We start from the raw sequence: 25,960 nt of genomic DNA, 5'->3' as shown, positions 1-25,960 counted from the left end.
CTGAATCTCGATTGTATTTTTTACATTGGTGTTAGTTTGGCTGTATTTACCACTGCAGCTGGGGCCAGACAAGGGCTTAGGTATTAAATAGTACCAGACGGTAGTAAGCACTCAAATAATTGTTCAATAAACAGCTGTCAGAGTACGTACTCCTTAAGAACAGGCTCTGTCTTACTGACTGTTGTATTCTCTGCACATAACATAATGCCTGGCTCGTAGTTAACACTCGCTTGTTGAACAACTGATTGTAGAATCTGTACTTTCTAAGAGCTCACAGTTTAATGAAGTTTATGTTCATTCATTCAATGTACAGCAAATGTTTGCTGTCACTCTGACAGCAGATTCCCAACACGGGCTGCGTCTGCTTCTGTGTTGTTAGGGTGTTAATAGTTTTTAACATTGAATCAAGGTAATACTAAGAAAGAGAAACTACTACTTAATGATTAATAGATGATTTATTTAGGCAGGAATACATATAGTCATCATTGCCAGACTTAATATGAGAGGTGAAATGTTCGATCCAATTTTCCTTCCTGGATAAGTTTTTCTTTCCTATCCTGTAAAGACAGAAAAAAAGTACATTAAAGACAATATATTCTGCCAGTTGGCTATATTAGATAAAAATAAATAAATAAAAAAGGTAAGAAAAACTGCATTTTGGCACAACCCACCGTACAACTGACAAACAGAATGAAACACTCCAAACCTAATTGCAATCCCACTGTCTAAAGCCCAGGGAGTGTGCGAAGAAACAGTAATCCGAGGAACTAAAGACACAGTAAGAAAATGCTCCTATTCAAAAACATCTTACTCACATTTTAGTCATTAGAAATATATTATCCCATAAAACCATATATTGAAAGCAAAATGCAAACACTTTCTGGGAAAATGTGGACTACCTTTCTGTTAAGTAGATCATTCACCAGATAATCAAAATACACGAACTCTAATGGGAATGCAGATGGGCCAGTTAAAGACAAAGCTAGACGAGTGGGCTCCAGTGGCAACACAAGCCTGGGGGCTGCAGCTCAGGGTTTAGTACCAGATGTGGAATGGTTTGGTGCCAAAGATCAGCTTGACTTTCTCTCCAATCATATACCCAGGCTGCTGACGGCAGCTATTCCCCACACAGGCAGCTTGTGCTTCTCTGTCCGTAGAGTATTAATAGGTTTTAACATTAATTTGCAAAATGTGACCAACATAAATAGAATTCACGCAAACAGGAAACGTACTAAATGATTTATGTATTCTGCTAATACTTAACCCAATAAACATCATCTTTTTAAAAAACAAATGAACTAACAAAAATAGACAAAGGTGACTGAAAACTTTCTGTTTTAACTCCTGCTGGAAAGGAATAAAGATAAAAGAAGAGAGGAAGGGAAGGCAGAGGACAGCCCCAAGGTGGGAGGGGCACTGGTGGCAATCTTCAAGAGAAGGAGCTGCAGCTGGTCCCTAGAAAGTGAACCTATCACTCAAATACTAAACATCTGGTCTGAATACTTACCCTCTCAGTTTTGATAATATAATAAATGAAGATGAGGGGCCCAAATCCACACAGAGCTCCCATGAGTGAGTTTTTAGGAGTGGGTCTGAAATTAGGATAGACATTTATTGTTCTTGCATAGGCCCAACGAAGCAAGGCAGGATTTTCCTAAAATTAATGAAAACAAAAAGTTATAGAACTTAAGAAGGATCACATTGAGAAACAAATTCATAGGGACTTTTGTGAAGGAGCACAGACGCATTTTGTTCTCTAGAACAGTTAAGGGTATATCATGAATATTCCTAAACAGCTTCAGGAAAGATCTTTCATTTCTGGTGTTTTTTGAATTCTAATGATCTTGTTCAAATCCTTCAGAATGTAGAAGGCTCATATCACTAATTAGCTTTCTGTTTATTTAAGAATCCTAATCTTAATCTAACTAATCTAACCTAATCTAACTGTCAGAGAAGCCACTTTTTCTCCTTTGTCATTTTCATCTATTCTTCTCTGGACTGTTTTTAGCTTCATTGTCAAGTGTGACCATCAGAACCATGCAGTATTCCCAATGAAGAGAAACAGATTTCATATGCTCTATCATGCTTTGTATTTTGTTTCCAGGACCCTTTCTAATGCTATCACCAAAATAGTCTTTCCAGGCTACAAATAAGCTGTAGGAAGATGAAGGAGGGGGTAGGCTAGCTGAACTGTAAGTTTTTTAAGCTGACCTAGTGTGAAAAGCATTAATTCAGACATTTCACACTATTAGAAGTTTTGTAGAAAGGTCAAAGTTGTTAAAGAAAAATAATCAGACTGTCTTAAGAAAATAATTGTCCATTTTAATATATTTATACTAGAATAACTATCCATGAATAGCAAATCTACCCACAAACACATAAATTTAATTAGCTAAATGCCCAAGTGATTTTACAAAATTAGTCTCTCCAATTAACTGACAGATAAAAATAAGCAAATAAAATCAGCTTTAAGACTTTAATATATAACATGAATATTCAAGGTCCTAACCAACATCAAGAAGTCATGATTTGTAGGACTAAAATAATTTCACAAGGTCTTCCACAGTCATATTTCAAACTAAATTACAACAATTTACCCTGAGATAATCAGCTGCAGCTCAGAAGTTTAAAAAAAAAAAAAAACAAAAAAAAAAACCTTATGATGGAAATGCTTCCGTTCCTTTTAATCAGACTGAAATTCCTCAACGGTGTAAGCACTCACTACTAGATACAAAGTCCCAAAATATCTTCTGCTGTTCTAGAAACTATTGACATTATCACACCACATTAAAATGAAAGCACATGCAAGTGTTCTGCAGCATTGTTTATTATTATGCCTATACTGCCAACAAGAAAAAAGAGGGTAAAGACACAGATTAGGTCCAAGGGGATGTTAAAGCTCAATAGCTGAAAGGATTAATGCATCTATTCTTACATCCTTTCTACTATAAATGTATCTGAATGACTATCAAATGGCAGACTTCTCAATTTGCTAGTCACCTCTCTGTGCTTTAATATCTGCCAGATCTGTCTTCCAGAAACAGACATTTCATTTCATAAAAATACCAATTGCCCCATGACCATAGTTCATTAAGCCCGGTAATGTTATTGAGAGGTTCCAAAAGACACACTATGAAGAGAGTTTTCCTCCTCTGACATCACTAAAAGTCCAGTGCACTCTCAGTAGCATCTGACATGGTGAAAACTCCTGAAAATCATGTCTTCACTTGACTTCCAGGCCCACACCTGCTTGGATTTCCTGCTAACTCTATGGCCATTCTCTCTTCATTTCTTTGCTCTTTTCCTCCTCATCTCCCCAATCTCTTAATATTGGACCTCGCTGGTCTTTCCTATCTACATTTACTCCCTTGATGATGTCATCTGGTCAGATAACTTTAAATAATCTATCTAAAGGCTGATGATTCCCAAAATTTTACCTCCAGCCCTGTAACTCTCCAGACTTAATATCCAACCAACTGCTGAACTCTGACATACGGTCTAACAGGCATCTAAAACGTCACATATCCCAAACTGATTTCCCAACAGTCTACTCCACCTCCATACCTTCTCTTCTCCCATTCCTGTGTTTCTTAGTAAAAGGCAACTTCATTCTTAAAATCACTTAGGTCAAAAACCTTGGAGTCATCCTTGACTCCTCTTTCATACACCACATCTAGTCTATCAGCAAACCTGGTTGGCTCTACTTTTAAAATACACCTGGAATCTACCATTTCTCACCGCCTTCTGCCACCACCCTGGTAATCAACAGAGATTGGATTACTACAAAAGCCTCCTAGTCTCCCTGATCCTGTCCTTTCCCCCATAGTCAATTCTCAACTAAGCAGCCAGAGAAATTGTTAAGTCCAGATCACGAAATTCTCTATTCAGTAAAAGTCCTTACAATTACCTACAAGGCCTGGTGTGATCTTGTCCCACTCTGCCCTCACCTTTCTCCACTTTAGTCACAATGGTCTCTCCAGTGTTTTTTCAATTAACCTGACACTCTCCTGCCTAATGGCCCTTGCACTTGCCGTTCTCTGATGAGTAGGCTGCCTTCCTAGAGAGCTAGGTCCCTCACCCCACTTCTTTCAGATCTTTATTCAGATGTCACCTTCAAACAGAGGGCTTCCCTGGGCCTAAGATTGTAGCTGCTTACCTCCCCTACTACTTACACACACTCCAAATCTCCCCTGCTTTATTTTTTTTCTCATCACTTACCACTAACATGTTAAATGATTTTAATTTTTTAACTTGTTTCTTGTCTCCCCTACTAGAAAGTTTGTTCTACAAGGACAGGAATTTTTGCCTGTTTTGATCTCCATTGTTATCTTGGCATGTAAAATAGGGCCATAACAGACCCTGAGCAATTATTTATTGATTCAATCAATCATTCTTAAAGATTAGGCAAGATGGCCAGGCACAGTGGCTCAAGTCTGTAATCCCAGCACTCTGAGAGGCGGAGACAGGAGGATCGCTTGAGCTCAGGAGTTCAAGACCAGCCTGGGCAAAATGATGAAACTCCATCTCTATAAAAAATACAAAAACTTAACCGGACATGGTAGCGCACATCTGTGGTCCCAGCTACTTGGAAGGCGGAGGTGGGAGGACAGCTTGAGCCCGGGAGGCAGAGGTTGCAGTGAGCCGAGATCATACCACTGCACTCCAGCCTGGGTGACAGAGTAAGATCCTGTCTCAAGGGAAAAAAAAAAAAAAATTAGGCAAGAGAATTTACATGTATTGATTAATAAATGATAGTGTCACACACTCATTTAATCAACAGAACCAAAGAGACTGGTAGTATTACCTCTATTTACACATGAGAAAATTGAAACTACCCTGAGGCATACAGCTAGAAGACAGAAGATCTTGGTTTCAATTTCAGGTCTGACTGAGGCCTTATTCTTTTTTAATGCATCACACTAACACATCAAACCCAATCATGTGAGTTTGTAATAAATGTGTCTCTCTGCACCCTCTTCCCAAGTTAACAAGGTTCTGGCTGGAGACAGTATAACCAACTAGTTAAAAGCAGATGCTGTGGGTTACACAAACCAGGGTTAGAATTTTGCTCTATCACCTACTAAAGAGGTATCTCTGTATGACCTACTTGTCCTTCCCATGTTGTCTTCTCATCTGTAAAATGGGGACAGTAGTAGAGCTTAATCATCCAAATAGTTGTGATATGTAAATAGTACTCAAAAAGAGTTTTAGCACAGTGCCTGGCACATTGTAACTTTCATTCAATCCTCATAACTTCCAAAAATTCCAAAACACCAATGCAACGTGTGGGAAAAGTCCAGTCCTGTTCTGTTAACATCATATTTAACCTACTTAGTTCCTGTATAGAAAACTACCTAATGAAAGCACACCTGTTAATTACCAGTTTACTGGGCATATATTATGTGCTGCGAATGTTACACAGACTGTCTTATTTAACCTCATAATGCACATCATTTATATACGAAACCAGGAAACTATAATTCAGAGGAGTTGAAGTTGCCCAAGGTAACAGAGTTAGCCAATGAGTAGTGCTTTGGGTTCTGACTCCAAAGCCTAGAACTTCAGCAAGCTTCAGGGTCTTTAAAAGATGCAGGTTGAAGGAATCACTGTATTCCCATCAGGAGAGAGCAGTATCCCTATGAGCTGTGAACTGAAAGGTAAACACCAGCTCTTTAAAATTATATATATATATAAAATATATATGCATATATATAGAATATAATATATATGCATATATATAAAATATATATGCATATATATAGAATATAATATATATGCATATATATAGAATATATATATAATATAATATATATATGCATATATATAGAAACATTTTCTGAACACGCCTTACGAACGAGGCACTGTGCTAGGACAGTCACATACTCTATCTCATTTAATCCTAACAGCCTGATAAAAGAGTAAGCACTATATTACGCCCATTTTGCAGACAGAAAATCGAGGATAAGCAGAGTGAATAACGTTCTTAAGGTCACGCAGGCAGGAAGTGATCAAGCCAGGATTCAAACCCAGCCAGGTCTGAGTCCAGAGCCGGTCCTCTCGAGGGCCAAGCTCTGGCAAAGGTAAAAGGGTAGTGAGTTGGCTAGGCCTGGAAGAGGACCTGCGTCTGAGATACTGATCGGGAGCGGTGGCCGACCCTTTGCGTGGTCTCTCTCGGTCTCTCCCAGGACTCGGGCCCTATTCCCGCCTGGGAGGCCCCACACTCACGATGAGCCCTCGGCGGTTGGGATCGTTGTACTGAAGCAGGTACTCTCGTTTCAGCTGGGCTCTTATGGCCAACCGCTCGGCTTGCGCCCGCCGGGTTTCCGGAGATATGTTGTATTCGGCTGGGTCGAGGGTCTCAGGCAGAGTGCGCAGGCTCGACGGCTTATACTTTGGGAACGACATCTTGGCGAACCAGGGCACAATTGCGCCTGCGCGATTCTGAGGCCCTTTGTCTATGCTGACCTTCAGCTTCAGGAAGTGCGCCTGCGCGTTAGCAGAGGTTGGGGATGTCGTTAACAAGGAGCTCCGCCTCTTTCTCCTACCTTCCCGAACACGGCGCGTTCGCTCGGTGATATGCGCATGCGCGAAGTGCTCTTCTCGCAGTGCGCCCTGCCCCACCGCCGCTCCCCACCTACTCATCTGTCACCGCGCTGCTTCTTCCTAGCAGCCTTGTCTCTACTGACATAACCAGGGCTTATTATGTAAAGTTGAGCTGTGTGGGACTGGCTGTGGAGTCAGAAGTCCGGGTTTTCATTGTGGGTCTAACCGTGCTGTGTCACCTTGGATAAGTCACTTAAAGTCTCTGAGTTTCCTTTTCCTTATCCTGGAGATAATGACTCCTGTCCACCTAGCAAAGTTGTTGTGAGGATTAAATAAGCTAACAAATAGATCACAAAGTGCTTTGCAAAACAGAATTCCCTACCCAAGAAGAAGAGAATAAGCTTTTCTGTACTTTACCATGCTAGATTCATACAACATTAAGTGTAAGCTTATTTTTCACAGGTACGAAATAATGATTAATAGGAAAAATGATGTTATAAGAGAAATGTTGCCTGACTGACTATAGAAGGTCAGGAAGAAAATGAGATACTGAATAAAGCTCATGAGAAAACATCTTAGTTAAAATACTAAAACCTCTTGCCTAAAATCCTTAGCACTCTTCAGATGCAAAGAATTAAAAACATCCTTACAGGTATGAAAATACTCATAGGGGCATGTATCTTATTGTAAAAGACGATCTGGGGCGAAAACTGAAGTAATCAGAAACAAAACCTTCTCTGTCCCTACTGTCCTTCCTTCTCCCCAGTTACCAAGGAGAAAAACAACTTCAAGTTTCACAGCAGGGTCTTTGGGTTCCCCTTCTCCTCAGGGGAAAAAATGTAAACAATATTTCCATAACTCGGGCAAAGAAGGATGGATCAAAAGAGAGCCCCAGCTTGGCTGAAACGTCTGGGGGCGCGTAGGTATGTTGGGAAATGGTTGCTAGAAAAGGGACCTAGAAAGTGTTGGCATTTGAAATGATGAGAAGCAGCACTGCTGTCAAATTTATTCAACATTTTAATACTGTTTTAAAATATTTATTAAGCACCCACCGCGTGAAGCACACAGCACACTAGTCAGTGTTAAGTCAATCTTCTAGGCTCAGTGGGGGAAATCCAGACAAAATGGAAGATGGGGTGTTTGCCTTTCGGGAGCTGACAATCAGGCAGTACAGAAAGAATAGGCAGAAATGGTAATATTTCAAAGTAGTCTAATGTCCAGATGAATATAGAGCAAAATGGACTCATGAGGATTCAGGCTGAGAGAATGTAGAAAAAATGAACACAAGACGAGTTACTCAGACTCGATTTTAAAGGAGAAAAAAAAAGGAAATTCTGACTTGTTCAAAGGTGTTTTGAAATACTAAGAAAATAATACAATATGAAAAGCAAGAGCAGTTTATAAAATTCTAAAGACTACATAAAGTTTCCAAAACCTGTATAGATTAGACACTGATCTAGGAAGGAGAGCATGTAAAAAGAATAAAAGGATAAAGGAATGAGTCCAGCGAGTACGAACTGATGCAGGGCAGGCGAGCCCCAAAGTGGGGCTTAGGCAACCAGGGAACTTGGCTTTGCCCAGGAAAGAATTCAAGGGCAACCCGGAGGTAGAAGAAAACAATTTTATTGAAGAGGCAGTGTTACAGCTTTGGTGGTGTCACAACCGTGACTGCTCCTGTAGAGCAGGGCCACCTCATAGGCAGAAAGCACCAGCTCAGGCCAGCTTTGAGTCACATTTATACCCACATTTGGCAGTTTGGCCGGGCGCGGTGGCTCACGCCTGTAATCCCAGCACTTTGGGAGGCCGAGGCGGGCGGATCACGAGGTCAGGCGATCAAGACCATCCTGGCTTACACGGTGAAACCCCGTCGCTACTAAAAATACAAAAAAAAATTAGCTGGGCGTGGTGGCGGGCGCCTGTAGTCCTAGCTACTCGGGAGGCTGAGGCAGGAGAATGGTGTGAACCAGGGAGGCGGAGCTTGCAGTGAACCGAGATCGCGCCACTGCACTCCAGCCTGGGCGACAGAGCGAGACTCCGTCTCAAACAAACAAACAAACAGACAAAAAAGTAAAGAGGCAGTTTATGCAGACATTTCTAGGGAAGGGGTAGCAACTTTTGGGTCATCAGGTCATTGCCCTGGAAAGGGGTGGTAACTCCTGGGTGTTGCCATGGCAATGATGAACTGACACACTGGTGTGTGTATCTGATGGAAAGCGGCTTCCACCTCCGACCTGTTTAGGCTAGTGCTCAATTTGGTTCGGTGTCCGAGTCCTACCTCCTACCTCAAACCAGCTGACTAGGTTAAAGAAGATTTCTTAAGGTTACTATAAAGAAAGCTTTGGATGAGTTAAAGTAGTTATTACCACACTTGCCTGATTATCACGAGGATTGCTTATGATGAGTGTTAAAAAAAAAGGGAGTTTAGCCAGGTGTGGTAGCATGTACCTGTAGTCCCAGCTACTGGAGAGGCTGAGGCCGGAAGATCCCTTGATCCCAGGAGTTTAAGTCTAGCCTAGACAACATAGTGAGACTGCACCTCTAAAAAAAAAAATGAAGTAAAAATAATTAGTAAATTAAAATATGGAATTTTTTTTTAACTCCTAGTTCCCGTTCTCCACCTGGAGATTCAAAATTGGTATGGCAGAGGAACCCAAGAGTCTGTATTTTTTACAATTTCCAGTGGGGGAGTGGTGGTATTAAAATATATTACATGCTTGTAAAACAGAGATGAGTACAAAAGGTCTTTCTTTTCCAAAGATAATTGGTACCAGAAAAGGCCCTCTTAGAATGAATCCATTAAAGATAGAGATGTAGATTCCATAGTGAAAGAGTGAAAGAAAAAGACTTGATTTGAACTTTATATTGAAAAAAATTCAACCCAAACTTATAAAAATGAATTTATCTTATATTTAACACGTTAGGTTACAACTGCAAGTATGTGCTAATTCTGGTAACTCAAATGTTGTTTTGGAGGAGGGACATAATTTTTTATATGGCTCATTATCCTTCACTGTGCATTTGATTTTTGCTGCAGGGTCTTACTTGCAAAAGTTTTGGAGGCGTTTATCTAGTTTTCCCAAAGACCTCTCTTAATCCTTTGAAATCAGATTATTTCTCTTTGATGTATTGATGTCAACATCGTTCTCATTGTTTTTCTCTTTTTCATTTGTTATCTGGTCCAACTCTGTGAAGTCCTCCTTTATTAATGACTTTGCATGTGGATCCAGCAGTTTACTAACATCAATTTCAAGATCATGAAATTCCACATCTTTTGTAAATTTGCACTTTTAATTTGCAATAGATTTCAGTTGTATTTGAGGGCTAGATATTTCCAAATGAATGACAAGGATTTTGATAGAAGTGGGTATAGGCACTAAGGTTAAAAGATTGGACAATTTAAGTGGGGAACAATTTCACAAGTTGTCATTTCATCAATGAATATTTCCTGTTTTGAAGACTTTTACTTCCTAAGAAACCTCCTAACAGAGTTTATCAGGTCATGGGTTACAAGGACAAAGTATATGTACCTGTGTTTGGCTGGAAGAAGGGGGATGATGTGGTGAAGTGAAGAAGGAATGCAAATGGGAAGGGGTGGTTAAGTTATGTGGATAGGGCAGGGTTTTGGGGAACAGAAGATGAATAGGTGGATATAGAAACTGTAAGAAAGGTGCATCAAGAAAGCACTGTATTGTCTTGCTTTTTCCTCTATAGAATACAATATTACAACAATCTTGCCATCTGAAGAGGCAAACAAAGTGTATGCAGCCAAAATATGTAGGAAAAAATATAGAGGTATATCAGAAAATTAATACAAATATTTTATTATTTCTTTTATATATTTCATTTTGTGATGTTTATGTTTTAAATTTGTAATTTATTGTGATTTTTCTCATTTATATCTAATTGTATTTGTAGTTTTGTGTAATTTTTCTTAAAGAAGACTCCTCCAAAACCTGGATCTTCCTCAAACCTGGATCTTCTTGTTAGTTTTATTAAGGTTGCAAGGAAGAGACAGAGAGTACTATGTGAATTAATTTAATTGGCAAGGAGATCCAGGAACATGGGGTAGCAAGGACAGTCATCTCTTTGGTTGTATAGCCAACCTGGGACCTTGCCTCCCAATATTGGAATGAACAGCAGCCCTAAGGGAGAATAAGAACAATATTTTAGGGTTTTCAGGGTCCTACTTGAGCTTAATAACCCACTTTCTATTTGTTTACCTAGCACTTACTCTTCCTCCAAAAGAAGACATACTGGGTCCATTTGAAACTTCAATCTAGATTGCCCCAAAGCACCACATGGGAGGTTGGCTTTCATTGTATCCAACTCCTCTGTAGTTCTGTTGACTTGGGCAGTGTCCTGATCAGTCATGAATAAGCATACAACTGTTTTCACCCAATAGGTACACCTAAGTCACAGAAGTTTATGATATTTAGAAAAGACCCACCTAGGACTACTTTCTTTCTAAGTGGTAATGTATCCAGCAGGCACTTTGAGAATACAAGGAGTGTCCATGACAAACATATGTTACTTTTATGTGTTTTTACTATGGCTTTGTAATATCTTGTTATTTCATGGGGCAAATCCCTCTGTTTTATCATAGTTCAAAATTGTCTAAGCTACGTTTTTTCCTCTTCTCTTTCAGGTGAATTTTAGAGTTAAGTTATCAAGTCCTATAAAAAATCCATTGAAATTTTTATTGGAATTGCACTAAATTTATAGCTTGACTTGGGGAGAATAGGCATCTTTGTAAATATTGTATCTTCCCATCCATGATCATTAGTCAGGTCTCCTTTTATGTCCTTCAATCATGTTTTGTAACTTTCTCCATAAAGAACTCTTGCCTCTCTAATACAGTAATAGATTTTTATTGCTGCTGTTGTTTACTTTTCCGATTACATCTTCCAATTGGTTATTGCTGGGATATGGGAATATTATTGATTTTTATATACTTATCTTGGAATCAGTAACCTTGTTAAAATTTTTATTAGTCCCATTAGCTTTTCTTTACATTCTTTAGGATTCGTCTATGTAGTCAGTCATATCTCGTGCAAATAGCAGTCTTGCCTTTTCTTTTCCAAGTCTTAAACTTATTTTCTCTCTCTCTCCTATTGCATTCGCTAGGACCTCTAGTACAATGTTGCATAATAGTGGAAATAGGGGGTCTCCTATCTTATTCCCAACTCTAATAGAAAATAATCTGATATTTCACCATCATATATGATGCTTACTATAAGTTTTGACAGAAACCCTTTATTGGGTTAAGAAAATTCCCTTATATTCCTTGGCAAAAGTTTTTTTTTTTAATCATTTATGGGTGTTTAATTGATCAAATGCTATTTCAACATTTTTAAGATCTATTATCTGTTTTTTCTCTATTAGTCTATTAAAAAGGTAGATAGCCTTGGTAAGTTGTTCTGATGTGGAGTTGTTTTGCATTCTGGAATTTACCCTATGTCATGGCTATGATGTATGTTTCTTAATATGCTGATGAATTACATTTCTTAGCATTTTACTTTGAATTTTGTCATTTATGTTTATAGGTGAATTGGCTCTAAATGTTCTTTTTAGCTTATTTTGTTGTCTAGCTTTGTTATTATATTTACATGAATACATGGGATATACTTCTTTCTTTTTTAATGGGGGTAGTATATTTACATGAAATGAGTTGGATAGATTTCTCTCTTTTTTTTTTTTAACTCTCCAAAACAGTTTGTATAAGATAGGGACTATCTATTCGATGAAGGCTTGGTGAATTAACTTGTATAACTGTCTGGGCCTTCCATGTTTTTTTCAGGGGAGCTTTTTGGCTATTATTTTAATGTCTGTAATGGTTGTTGGTTTGTTCAGTTTTTCTCTTCTTGAATTAATTTTGATAATTTATATTTTCTCAAATATCTTGTTTCAAATGTACTGCCATAGAGTTCCTAATCTCATCCCATGAATTTTTTCAATCTCCACTGTCTTTATAATTATGTTCCTCCCTTTACTTCTAATATTATTGATTGCTTTTTCCTTCATCCATTCTGCTAGAGGATTGCCTACTTTGTCTTTTAATAGAACCCATTTTTAAGAAGATTTTATTTTTTAGGGCAGTTTTAGTTTCACAGCAAAATTAAGAGGAAGATACAGAGATTGTCCATATACCACCTGTGCCCCCATATAGACAGCCTCCCCCGTTATCGACATCCTCCACCAGACTAGTACATTTGTTACAATTGATGAACCAACATTGACATCATTATTACCCAAAGTCCATAGTTTACACTGTGGTTCACTCTTGTTGTTACACATTCTATGTATTGGACAAACCTATAATGACACATATCCAATGTTATAGTATCATACAGCGTATTTTCCCTGCCCTAAAAATTACCTGTGCTCTGCATATTCAACCTTCCTCTCACCTTCTCACCAACCTCTGGCAACCACTGATCTTTTTCTCTTTCCATAATCTTGCCTTTTCTAGAATGTCAATAGTTGGAATCCTACAGTATCTGGCCTTTTCAGATTGTCTTCTTTCACTTAGAAATATGCACTTAAGTTTCCTTCATATCTTTTCATGGCTTCATAGCTCATTTCTTTTTAGGGCTGGGTAACATTCCATTGTCTTCATGTACCAAAATTTATTCAGCCATTCACCTACTGAAGGACATCTTGGTTGCTTCTAAGTTTTGGTAATTATGAATAAAACTACTATAAACATCCACTTGCAGGTTTTAGTGTGGACATAAGCTTTCAACTCCTTTAGGTAAATACCAAGGAGCATAACTGCTGAATTGTATGGTAAGAATATGTGTAGTTTTGGCCGGGTGCAGTGGCTCACACCTGTAATCCCAGCACTTTGGGAAGCCAAGACAGGTGGATCACCTGAGGTCAGGAGTTTGAGACCAGCCTGGCCAACATGGTGAAACCCTATCTCTACTAAAAATACAAAAATTAGCCAGGTGTGGTGGCAGGCGCCTGTAATCCTAGCTACTCAGGAGGCTGAGGGACAAGGTTGACTTGAACCCGGGAGACGGAGCTGGCAGTGAGCTGAGATCTCACCACTGCACTCCAGCCTGGGCAACAGAGTTAATCTTTATCTCAAAAAAAAAAAAAGACTATATTTAGTTTTATAAGAAAGCACCAAACTGTCTTCCAAAGTGGCTGTACCATTTTGCATTCCCACAAGTGATGAATGAGCATTTCTGTTGCTCCACATTCTCTCCAGCATTTGATGTTGTCAGTGTTCTGATTTTGACAATTCTAATAGGTGTATAGGGGTGGCTCATTGTTGTTTCAATTTGCATTTTCCTGATGATACATGACATGGTGCATCTTTTCATGTGCTTATTTGTCATCTGTGTGTCTTCTTTGGTGAGGTGTCTATTAAGGTCTTGGCCCAGTATTTATTTATTTATATTGTGTTGGCTATTCTGGGTCTTTTGCTGCTCCATATAAACCTTAGAGTCAGATCATTGATATCCACAAAGTAAACTGCTGGAACTTTGGGATTCCATTTTTATTTAGTTAATCACTTCTAATCAATAATTTTTCCTCTCTTCTGCTTTTCTTGCACTTACTCTAATGTCTTTCTTCTAGATTTTTAAACTGAATGCTTTCTCATTCATTTTTGTTTTTATGTTTTATAATACATGCATATTATTCTGTACATTTTATTTAATTACATCTCTACAAGTTATTATTATCATTTTCATTCATATACAGTTCTGAGTATTTGACAGTTTCCAGTATGATTTTTTTCTTAAGTCACAAATTCTTTAGAAATGCATTTTTTGCTCTCCAAAAAATGTTTTAAGTTTTTATTGTTAAATTTCAATTTAATTGCATTATTGTCAGAGAAGCTTGTGTGATATTCCTTTGAAATTTGCTGAGCCTCTCTTTGAGACTTTATCTTTGTTTGCTCTGATTTGGTTTGGCTTTTTTTAAAAACAAGCCATTTTATGGAAATTTAACATACATATAGAAAAATGCAAAAAATATACATATTCTGTTATTAGAAAATGAACTTACCTTGTAATCATACATAGTCAATGTATATAATAGTTCCATGTGAGCTTAAAAAGAATAGATATATTCCATATTTATTGAGTGCAGGGTTAGATCAAGCTTGTTAATTGTGTGGTTTGAATCTCTCATATCTTTATTCATTTTGTCTATTTGATCTATAGAGGTGTATTATAATCTCCCAATGCCATTGTGATTTGTTAATTTCTCCTTGAACAAAATTAGAGTATTCAAGATGAATTGAAGGTGAAATGGAAGCATTTTAGTGGGAATGCCTCTGTGAATTGTTTGTATATAAAGAAAAAGTAACTCATATATAATGCTTTGTTCCCTCTATCCATTCAGTGTGCTGTATACAAACCAGCCAAGAAAAAACATTCTGCCTAAAATATACAGTACACTTAGAAACACATCTGTCATGTAGACATATCCAAAAGCTTATGAATATTACATTTTGCATTCCACTTCTTCAGAGACTGTCTTTTCATCCTAGTGTTAGCATATATCTGTTCTTATTGCTAAAGTCACTTACATAAGCACATATTTGTACTTGAAAGGAACAATAAGTTTCCTACAAAGTGTAAGGTGACATTTTCTTGCACGCTTTCAATTTAATATAAAAGAGAGTTAATCCTCTTAGCTGAGGCTATGTCATGCTTTCTTATTTGTGATAAAGTATAGCCCTATCATCATCTTTTCCCTGGGGAGAGCAGCGGCTTCTTAGTTGATTTTCTTGCATACATCTACTCTTGTCATACTCTCATTCCTTTTCCATACAGCAGCCAGAGTGGCCTTCTTAAATATAAATGATCCTATCACCCCCAATTAACCCTTACCTGACTTACAACACCCAGTGGTGGTCTGCTTCCTGTCTCGTCAGCAGTACTTGTCTCTATGCTCCTCATCACTGTCTGTGCTTCAGACATGCTGGCCTGTCTTCAGTTCCTTCTTTCCACAGGGCCTTTGCACTTACTCTTTGCTCTACCTTAAACACTACACTCTACATTCCTATTCGTCCTTCAGAACTCAATTCTATAGCCCCTTAACTAATCAACAAGGTCGAATCCCTCTACGAACTTTCATAGCGATATAGGCTTCTCCTTCATGGCACTAACTGCAATCCTAATTAGGCATTTTTAAAATTATTTAGTTCATCTCTGCCCCCAACCCCAACAAGATTGCAGGCTCTTTGAAGACCAGGACCACATCAGACTTGGATCTACTGCATCTCGATACTAGCACAGTGTTTGGTACAACGTAGTAGTGATGAATGAATGAATGACTAGTTGCCTTTCTTCACTTCCAAGTAAGTCTATTAAACAAATGTGCCTACACCCCTCTTGCTGCCTCTGCTTTCATCTCACTCTCACCTCCAGGATGTATTCCATACCCACCACCCCTCAACCCATACACACATACAGCCCCCCACCACACACACACACACACACACACTCAAAATTCAAGTCTAACACATTGTCTAGTAATGTAGATTGTGATCAAAGATTTATCTGGATACACAGGAGAGGAGTTATATCACAAAGCAAAATGACTCAATGATGTCTTTTTAGTGTCTCTTATTTGCTTCCTACCAAGTTCTTATCTCTGTAGCAGCAAGAGCTCTTATTCCTCTTCTTCCCCACTCCTTAAGTCTGTTCTGGGAGCCCCACCAGCCAAGCAGCCTCCACCTCCACCTGCCTTTCAAAGTTCACAGAGCTCCAAGTTCATACCCAGCAAAACAAAGCCCAGCCATAGGCCAGGCCATGACTCCCGGGTCCTCAGTTCATAGGGCCACTTGCATTTTTAGAAATTTGGATTGGAACATGTTATCTTTTTTTTTCATATCTTCTTTTGCTTGATAATATTCTTCCCTCCATCAAAGTTATCTTATACCTTCCCTGCTGCCTGTGGCTGACTGAAATCTTATGTCTATCAAGGGCTGCTTCAAATGCCTCATTCTCTGGAAATCTTCCCTTATGGCCCCCAAGTAGAGGTGATTTTTCTCTTCCCTAAATTTGCATCCTACTTATTTTATTCTACTTGGTATTACAGGCAATTTTGTACTTGTTTTTTTCTCCCTCTCCTTAAGAACAATTTCTGTTTCTTACTCCACATGTCTCCTGAAGAAACTGGCCCGGGACTTGGGGTGCATGGCAGGCCCTAATGCTGGTTAGGTTATAAGGAAACTTTTTATATTTTTCTTCCATGTTGGTTTAAGTCTCTTTAAGAAAGCTGCTGAATTTCATGTTCCTAAATGATAGATATTCAATATTTCAATTTCAGAATCAGCTAGAAGAAACCACTAGCCCCTGCCAAGGAATTCTGTAGCTATTGTGGGTGAGTGTAGTATAGCTTTTGGTTTAACAGTCCTAGAGAGATGTTCTCTCTCCAGGTAAAAGGTATCATTGACATTTTTGCCTGGGTTGACTCTGGCTTTCTAAAAATGCAGCACAGGCCTGGCCTCTGAAAGACTATTATTTACAGAATCTAACTCTTATGACTTGTTAAGTATACCAAGGATGGCTAATTAAAAATATTGGCTTATGAATTTAACCTCCTGAGGTCTCCTATCTTTTGGTTCAAGCTTGTCCTCAGCAGAAGCAGGCTGATTCCCAGAAAATCAATTCAGCAGAAGCCAGTTTGTGAATGACCACTTCTTAGAATGGCAAGGTGACCTAGGGCCAACCACAGCAAGCTAAACTGAAGGCTGTGGAATATACCAGACTTTGCTAGACCTATTGCTAGAGTCTGTATTCTGCCATCATTGGTATGATCTTTAGGTGAACAGACTTCTTTTTTTTTCTTTTATGATGGAGTCGTGCTCTGTCGCCCAGGCTAGAGTGCAGTGGCACGATCTTGGCTCACTGCAACCTCCACCTCCTGGGTTCAAGCGATTCTCCTGCCTCAGCCTTCTCAGTAGCTGGGATTGCAGGTGCCTGCCACTGTGCCCGGCTAATTTTTTGTATTTTTAGTAGAGATGGGGTTCCACCATGTTGGCCAGGCTGGTCTTGAACTCCTGACCTCATGATCCACCCACCACGGCCTCCCAAAGTTCTGGGACTACAGGTGTGAGCCAACACACCCAGCCAGGTGAACAGACTTCTTAGTGTTTCATAGTCACCTTGATCAAGGAAAGGGGATGGAGACCCAGTGATGAGGTTTGCTTCATGTGTATATGGCTAACTGAGGGCAGCCAAGACATAACTTAGTATCGCTTGCTCAGAGTTTCTTCCAAACTATACTTAAATTCTCAACATGAAGTATCTTTAACTTCTTTTATTCTTATAAGCATTACCCTGGATTAAACAAGGATAAAAAGTAAAATGAAGTTCTTTGGGGGTTTTAAACCATTTTTTCCATTCCAAAAGTAATACATTTCATTATAGGAAAATTTTAAAATAGAATGAAAAATTAAAATATTTGAAACCCATCTTTCAGCAGCCTAAGGACAATCACATAACATTTTTGACATTTTTTTCTTCCAATCTTTTTTCCACAGAGAGGATGTTTTAGAAAATTGTAATTATCCTATATGTATTTTTTCTTTTTTTTATTTATTTTTATTTTATTATTATTATACTTTAAGTTTTAGGGTACATGTGCACAATGTGCAGGTTAGTTACATATGTATACATGTGCCATGCTGGTGTGCTGCACCCATTAACTCATCATTTAGCATTAGGTATATCTCCTAATGCTAACCCTCCCCCTTCCCCCGACCCCACAACAGTCCCCAGAGTGTGATGTTCCCCTTCCTGTGTCCATGTGTTCTCATTGTTCAATTCCCACCTATGAGTGAGAACAAGCGGTGTTTGGTTTTTTGTCCTTGCGATAGTTTACTGAGAATGATGATTTCCAATTTCATCCATGTCCCTACAAAGGACATGAACTCATCATTTTTTATGGCTGCATAGTATTCCATGGTGTATATGTGCCACATTTTCTTAATCCAGTCTATCCTTGTTGGATATTTCGGTTGGTTCCAAGTCTTTGCTATTGTGAATAGTGCTGCAATAAACATACGTGTGCATGTGTCTTTATAGCAGCATGATTTATAGTCCTTTGGGTATATACCCAGTAACGGGATGGCCGGGTCAAATGGTATTTCTAGTTCTAGATCCCTGAGGAATCGCCACACTGACTTCCACAATGGTTGAACTAGTTTACAGTCCCAACAACAGTGTAAAAGTGTTCCTATTTCTCCACATCCTCTCCAGCACCTGTTGTTTCCTGACTTTTTAATGATTGCCATTCTAACTGGTGTGAGATGATATCTCATAGTGGTTTTGATTTGCATTTCTCTGATTGCCAGTGATGGTGAGCATTTTTTCATGTGTTTTTTGGCTGCATAAATGTCTTCTTTTGAGAAGTGTCTGTTCATGTCCTTTGCCCACTTTTTGATGGGGTTGTTTGTTTTTTTCTTGTAAATTTGTTTGAGTTCATTGTAGATTCTGGATATTAGCCCTTTGTCAGATGAGTAGGTTGCAAAAATTTTCTCCCATTTTGTAGGTTGCCTGTTCATTCTGATGGTAGTTTCTTTTGCTGTGCAGAAGCTCTTTAATTTAATTAGATCCCATTTGTCAATTTTGGCTTTTGTTGCCATTGCTTTTGGTGTTTTAGACATGAAGTCCTCGCCCATGCCTATGTCCTGAATGGTAATGCCTAGGTTTTCTTCTAGGGTTTTTCTGGTTTTAGGTCTAATGTTTAAGTCTTTAACCCATCTTGAATTAATTTTGTATAAGGTGTAAGGAAGGGATCCAGTTTCAGCTTTCTACATATGGCTAGCCAGTTTTCCCAGCACCATTTATTAAATAGGGAATCCTTTCCCCATTGCTTGTTTTTCTCAGGTTTGTCAAAGATCAGATAGTTGCAGATATGTGGCGTTATTTCTGAGGGCTCTGTTCTGTTCCATTGATCTATATCTCTGTTTTGGTACCAGTACCATGCTGTTTTGGTTACTATAGCCTTGTAGTATAGTTTGAAGTCAGGTAGCGTGATGCCTCCAGCTTTGTTCTTTTGACTTAGGATTGACTTGGCGATGGGGGCTCTTTTTTGGTTCCATATGAACTTTAAAGTAGTTTTTTCCAATTCTGTGAAGAAAGTCATTGGTAGCTTGATGGGGATGGCATTGAATCTATAAATTACCTTGGGCAGTATGGCCATTTTCATGATGTTGATTCTTCCTACACATGATCATGGAATGTTCTTCCATATATTTGTATCCTCTTTTATTTCATTGAGCAGTGGTTTGTAGTTTTCCTTGAAGAGGTCCTTCACATCCCTTGTAAGTTGGATTCCTAGGTATTTTATTCTCTTTGAAGCAATTGTGAATGGGAGTTCACTCATGATTTGGCTGTCTGTTTGTCTGTTATTGGTGTATAAGAATGCTTGTGATTTTTGTACATTGATTTTGTATCCTGAGACTTTGCTGAAGTTGCTTATCAGCTTAAGGAGATTTTGGGCTGAGACGATGGGGTTTTCTAGATATACAATCATGTCATCTGCAAACAGGGATAATTTGACTTCCTCTTTTCCCAGTTGAATACCCTTTATTTCCTCCTCCTGCCTGAATGCCCTGGCCAGAACTTCCAACACTATGTTGAATAGGAGTGGTGAGAGAGGGCATCCCTGTCTTGTGCCAGTTTTCAAAGGGAATGCTTCCAGTTTTTGCCCATTCAGTATGATATTGGCTGTGGGTTTGTCATAGATAGCTCTTATTATTTTGAGATATGTCCCATCAATACCTAATTTATTGAGAGTTTTTAGCATGAAGGGTTGTTGAATTTTGTCAAAGGTTTTTTCTGAATCTATTGAGATAATCATGTGGTTTTTGTCTTTGGTTCTGTTTATATGCTGGATTACATTTATTGATTTGCGTATATTGAACCAGCCTTCCATCCCAGGGATGAAGCCCACTTGATCATGGTGGATAAGCTTTTTGATGTGCTGCTGGATTCGGTTTGCCAGTATTTTACTGAGGATTTTTGCATCAATGTTCCTCAAGGATATTGGTCTAAAATTTTCTTTTTTGGTTGTGTCTCTGCCTGGCTTTGGTATCAGGATGATGCTGGCTTCATAAAATGAGTTAGGGAGGATTCCTTCTTTTTCTATTGATTGGAATAGTTTCAGAAGGAATGGTACCAGTTCCTCCTTGTACCTCTGGTAGAATTCGGCTGTGAATCCATCTGGTCCTGGACTCTTTTTCGTCGGTAAGCTATTGATTATTGCCACAATTTCAGAGCCTGTTATTGGTCTATTCAGAGATTCAACTTCTTCCTGGTTTAGTCTTGGGAGGGTGTATGTGTTGAGGAATTTATCCATTTCTTCTAGATTTTCTAGTTTATTTGTGTAGAGGTGTTTGTAGTATTCTCTGATGGTAGTTTGTATTTCTGTGGGATCGGTGGTGATATCCCCTTTATCATTTTTTATTGCATCTATTTGATTCTTCTCTCTTTTCTTCTTTATTAGTCTTGCTAGTAGTCTATCAATTTTGTTGATCTTTTCAAAAAACCAGCTCCTGGATTCATTATTTTTTGAAGGGTTTTTTGTGTCTCTATTTCCTTTAGTTCTGCTCTGAGTTTAGTTGTTTCTTGCCTTCTGCTAGCTTTTGAATGTGTTTGCTCTTGCTTTTCTAGTTCTTTTAATTGTGATGTTAGGGTGTCAATTTTGGATCTTTCCTGCTTTCTCTTGTGGGCATTTAGTGCTATAAATTTCCCTCTACACACTGCTTTGAATGTGTCCCAGAGATTCTGGTATGTTGTGTCTTTGTTTTCGTTGGTTTCAAAGAACATCTTTATTTCTGCCTTCATTTCCTTATGTACCCAGTAGTCATCCAGGAGCAGGTTGTTCAGTTTCCATGTAGCTGAGCAGTTTTGAGTGAGATTCTTAATCCTGAGTTCTAGTTTGATTGCACTGTGGTCTGAGAGACAGTTTGTTATAATTTCTGTTCTTTCACATTTGCTGAGGAGAGCTTTACTTCCAGCTATGTGGTCAATTTTGGAATAGGTGTGGTGTGGTGCTGAAAAAAATGTATATTCTGTTGATTTGGGGTGGAGAGTTCTGTAGATGTCTGTTAGGTCTGCTTGGTGCAGAGCTGAGTTCAATTCCTGGATATCCTTGTTAACTTTCTGTCTCGTTGATCTGTCTAATGTTGACAGTGGGGTGTTAAAGTCTCCCATTATTATTGAGTGGGAGTCTAAGTCTCTTTGTAGGTCACTCAGGACTTGCTTTATGAATCTGGGTGCTCCTGTATTGGGTGCATATATATTTAGGATAGTTAGCTCTTCTTGTTGAAGTGATCCCTTTACCATTATGTAATGGCCTTCTTTGTCTCTTTTGATCTTTGTTGGTTTAAAGTCTGTTTTGTCAGAGACTAGGATTGCAACCCCTGCCTTTTTTTGTTTTCCATTTGCTTGGTAGATCTTCCTCCATCCTTTTTTTTTTTTTTTTTTTCTTTCAATTCATTTTAATTATTAATAGACAACAGGAAACCAATTGAGGCTTCCAATAAGTTACTGTGTATTAAACCATGGTTGAAAACTTCAAGATAAGATGGGATTCTTAGAAGCAGCGAAATAAAAAACAGATTATGTTAGATTACACTTTATATTATCTGCTGTGACAGTTACAGAAATATTAGTAAAAGGTCAATCAAATCAAGTCTTGTTGTGGTTGTTAAAATGAATAAACTTATAATAGATGTAGTAAGAAATTTTTATATCTAGGGAAACATACGAATTAAGTTTAATATACACCGTCATCATTAAACATCTATGAAATATGTTTTTGAATTACAATAATAAGAGCCATGTACATTCTTAAAATATTTTGGACAAAGGAATAGTACAATAGTAAAGTTGCTTTTCCCTCTTGGGTAATCACTATGTAGAAGCAATATGATGTGTTCCAGTGAATCCTCTAAATTTCCAGAAGGAACGAAGTCATTTACCTCTTGTCTTCATTAGGTAGCAGCACATTATAGCATCATGAACACTAGGGACCAATAATCAATGGCTCTTGTCAGTATAGTAACTCCTTTCTTTGTCTGCCAGTCTGCCAGCATGAAGATCCCAAAATGACCATGCAGCTGCTCAGTTTGGATTTGGTGGAACCTTTAACAAGGATGCTGGTAGAATAGCTTTCCCCACCCCTACTCCAGGAACTGGGACCTTTAGTCCAGAAAAGCCTAAAGTTGTAGTAATGAAATCACTAATTCTCCCACAGATAACTGCAAATTATAATTAGAAATGCTAATCCTAATTTCACCATTTCAGTCCCAGACTCATGTTTTCTAACTGCTAAGTACACAGTCTTATATAATGGCCATTAGTTAAATAATATACTTTACCTTGAAGCCTTGAAGGACAATGTCCCCATCTCAGAGATGTCACTTCCAAGTTGGTGCTTAGCTCTGCCCTCAGGAGACCACATGATGTATGGTAGAAACAGTACATTCCTTGGTTATTTATCATTGTCACCCCTCCTTCTGAAAGTGTGACCCTTGGTCCTAGGAGATGTTTTTCAAGATTTATGAACCTTTGAGTGGTGGTGCTTTGCAAGGTGCTGTGGGAAAGACAGAGAGTTCTATGCCAAGAATAATTCAAGTCGGGGCAAATCACTACTCCTTTTAGTAGGTAAGTGGTCTGATGTTTTCAACTTGCCTCCAAGTGGCTAGTTGGTCTCTTTGGTGGATGGTACCATCATCCGTCAAGTGCTCAACATTGATCTCTGCTTTTGACAGATCTGATATTCAGTAGCAGCAGTACATAGTACTGATTAGCACGAGGGAGCCCATGCTATTTGGCCCATGTGCATTTTTATTATGACACCATAGCTTTTTTATTTTTGAGTTCCGTGCTCAGGCACTGGAGTGTATGAGTACAGAGGCTGACTGAGCTTCCCTTGATGAGTCATCTAGAACCCTTTTTCTCTAATCTTCCAATATTGCTAGTTGCTCTTACCAACCAGCAAAGTCATTTACCACTGTCCGCTATACATTATTCCTTGAGGAAAGTGTCCAGGTGTCCTGTTTTGTTTTTTTTTTTTTTTTTTTTCTTTTTTTTTTTTTTTTATTATACTCTAAGTTTTAGGGTACATGTGCACATTGTGCAGGTTAGTTACATATGTATACATGTGCCATGCTGGTGCGCTGCATCCACTAATGTGTCTCCCAATGCTATCCCTCCCCCCTCCCCCGACCCCACCACAGTCCCCAGAGTGTGATATTCCCCTTCCTGTGTCCATGTGATCTCATTGTTCAATTCCCACCTATGAGTGAGAATATGCGGTGTTTGGTTTTTTGTTCTTGCGATAGTTTACTGAGAATGATGGTTTCCATTTTCATCCATGTCCCTACAAAGGATATGAACTCATCATTTTTTATGGCTGCATAGTATTCCATGGTGTATATGTGCCACATTTTCTTAATCCAGTCTATCATTGTTGGACATTTGGGTTGGTTCCAAGTCTTTGCTATTGTGAATAGTGCCGCAATAAACATACGTGTGCATGTGTCTTTATAGCAGCATGATTTATACTCATCTGGGTATATACCCAGTAATGGGATGGCTGGGTCAAATGGTATTTCTAGTTCTAGATCCCTGAGGAATCGCCACACTGACTTCCACAATGGATGAACTAGTTTACAGTCCCACCAACAGTGTAAAAGTGTTCCTATTTCTCCGCATCCTCTCCAGCACCTGTTGTTTCCTGACTTTTTAATGATTGCCATTCTAACTGGTGTGAGATGATATCTCATAGTGGTTTTGATTTGCATTTCTCTGATGGCCAGTGATGATGAGCATTTCTTCATGTGTTTTTTGGCTGCATAAATGTCTTCTTTTGAGAAGTGTCTGTTCATGTCCTTCGCCCACTTTTTGATGGGGTTGTTTGTTTTTTTCTTGTAAATTTGTTTGAGTTCATTGTAGATTCTGGATATTAGCCCTTTGTCAGATGAGTAGGTTGCGAAAATTTTCTCCCATGTTGTAGGTTGCCTGTTCACTCTGATGGTAGTTTCTTTTGCTGTGCAGAAGCTCTTTAGTTTAATTAGATCCCATTTGTCAATTTTGTCTTTTGTTGCCATTGCTTTTGGTGTTTTGGACATGAAGTCCTTGCCCACGCCTATGTCCTGAATGGTAATGCCTAGGTTTTCTTCTAGGGTTTTTATGGTTTTAGGTTTAACGTTTAAATCTTTAATCCATCTTGAATTGATTTTTGTATAAGGTGTAAGGAAGGGATCCAGTTTGAGCTTTCTACATATGGCTAGCCAGTTTTCCCAGCACCATTTATTAAATAGGGAATCCTTTCCCCATTGCTTGTTTTTCTCAGGTTTGTCGAAGATCAGATAGTTGTAGATATGCGGCATTATTTCTGAGGGCTCTGTTCTGTTCCATTGATCTATATCTCTGTTTTGGTACCAGTACCATGCTGTTTTGGTTACTGTAGCCTTGTAGTATAGTTTGAAGTCAGGTAGTGTGATGCCTCCAGCTTTGTTCTTTTGGCTTAGGATTGACTTGGCAATGCGGGCTCTTTTTTGGTTCCATATGAACTTTAAAGTAGTTTTTTCCAATTCTGTGAAGAAAGTCATTGGTAGCTTGATGGGGATGGCATTGAATCTGTAAATTACCTTGGGCAGTATGGCCATTTTCACGATATTGATTCTTCCTACCCATGAGCATGGAATGTTCTTCCATTTGTTTGTGTCCTCTTTTATTTCCTTGAGCAGTGGTTTGTAGTTCTCCTTGAAGAGGTCCTTCACATCCCTTGTAAGTTGGATTCCTAGGTATTTTATTCTCTTTGAAGCAATTGTGAATGGGAGTTCACCCATGATTTGGCTCTCTGTTTGTCTGTTGTTGGTGTATAAGAATGCTTGTGATTTTTGTACATTGATTTTGTATCCTGAGACTTTGCTGAAGTTGCTTATCAGCTTAAGGAGATTTTGGGCTGAGACGATGGGGTTTTCTAGATAAACAATCATGTCGTCTGCAAACAGGGACAATTTGACTTCCTCTTTTCCTAATTGAATACCCTTTATTTCCTTCTCCTGCCTGATTGCCCTGGCCAGAACTTCCAACACTATGTTGAATAGGAGTGGTAAGAGAGGGCATCCCTGTCTTGTGCCAGTTTTCAAAGGGAATGCTTCCAGTTTTTGCCCATTCAGTATGATATTGGCTGTGGGTTTGTCATAGATAGCTCTTATTATTTTGAAATACGTCCCATCAATACCTAATTTATTGAGAGTTTTTAGCATGAAGGGTTGTTGAATTTTGTCAAAGGCTTTTTCTGCATCTATTGAGATAATCATGTGGTTTTTGTCTTTGGCTCTGTTTATATGCTGGATTACATTTATTGATTTGCGTATATTGAACCAGCCTTGCATCCCAGGGATGAAGCCCACTTGATCATGGTGGAT

The 25,960-nt window shown here is 38.7% G+C and overlaps 1 protein-coding gene across 2 annotated transcripts, besides 2 other annotated features; it reads right to left on the bottom strand.

Moving 5' to 3' along the window:
* Positions 1–257: 257 nt before the first annotated feature.
* On the bottom strand, positions 258–6,429 carry NDUFB4 (NADH:ubiquinone oxidoreductase subunit B4). Of its 2 annotated transcripts, NM_004547.6 has the most exons (3): positions 6,226–6,429; positions 1,508–1,654; positions 258–557 (listed from the first exon to the last, which is right to left on the bottom strand). In NM_004547.6, the coding sequence occupies exons 1-3, from the start codon at positions 6,403–6,405 to the stop codon at positions 495–497; spliced, it is 390 nt and encodes a 129-aa protein (NP_004538.2). In that variant the 5' UTR covers positions 6,406–6,429; the 3' UTR covers positions 258–494. The 2 variants fall into 2 exon arrangements, with proteins under 2 accessions (NP_004538.2, NP_001161803.1); NM_001168331.2 differs by having other exon boundaries at positions 354–1,654.
* Positions 4,909–4,978: an enhancer, noted in NCBI's record as "active region_20335". NCBI's record gives its function as "activates an Ori minimal core promoter by ATAC-STARR-seq in GM12878 lymphoblastoid cells {active_cell/tissue: GM12878}" and the evidence as "EXISTENCE:reporter gene assay evidence [ECO:0000049][PMID:35858748]".
* Positions 6,019–6,358: an enhancer, noted in NCBI's record as "active region_20334". NCBI's record gives its function as "activates an Ori minimal core promoter by ATAC-STARR-seq in GM12878 lymphoblastoid cells {active_cell/tissue: GM12878}" and the evidence as "EXISTENCE:reporter gene assay evidence [ECO:0000049][PMID:35858748]".

This window comes from Homo sapiens, chromosome 3 (assembly GCF_000001405.40).
Source record: "Homo sapiens chromosome 3, GRCh38.p14 Primary Assembly".
NCBI lineage: Eukaryota > Metazoa > Chordata > Mammalia > Primates > Hominidae > Homo > Homo sapiens.
This window is presented reverse-complemented; position numbering and strand designations above follow the sequence as displayed.

Excerpts from the sequence above, each read along its gene's own strand:
- NDUFB4 (NM_004547.6), bottom strand. The coding sequence starts at position 6,405 with ATGTCGTTCCCAAAGTATAAGCCGTCGAGCCTGCGCACTCTGCCTGAG. Across the intron at positions 1,655-6,225 it reads CCAACCGCCGAGGGCTCATC|GAAAATCCTGCCTTGCTTCG; the intron begins GTGAGTGTGGGG and ends CATTAATTTTAG. Across the intron at positions 558-1,507 it reads ATATTATCAAAACTGAGAGG|GATAGGAAAGAAAAACTTAT; the intron begins GTAAGTATTCAG and ends CTGTCTTTACAG.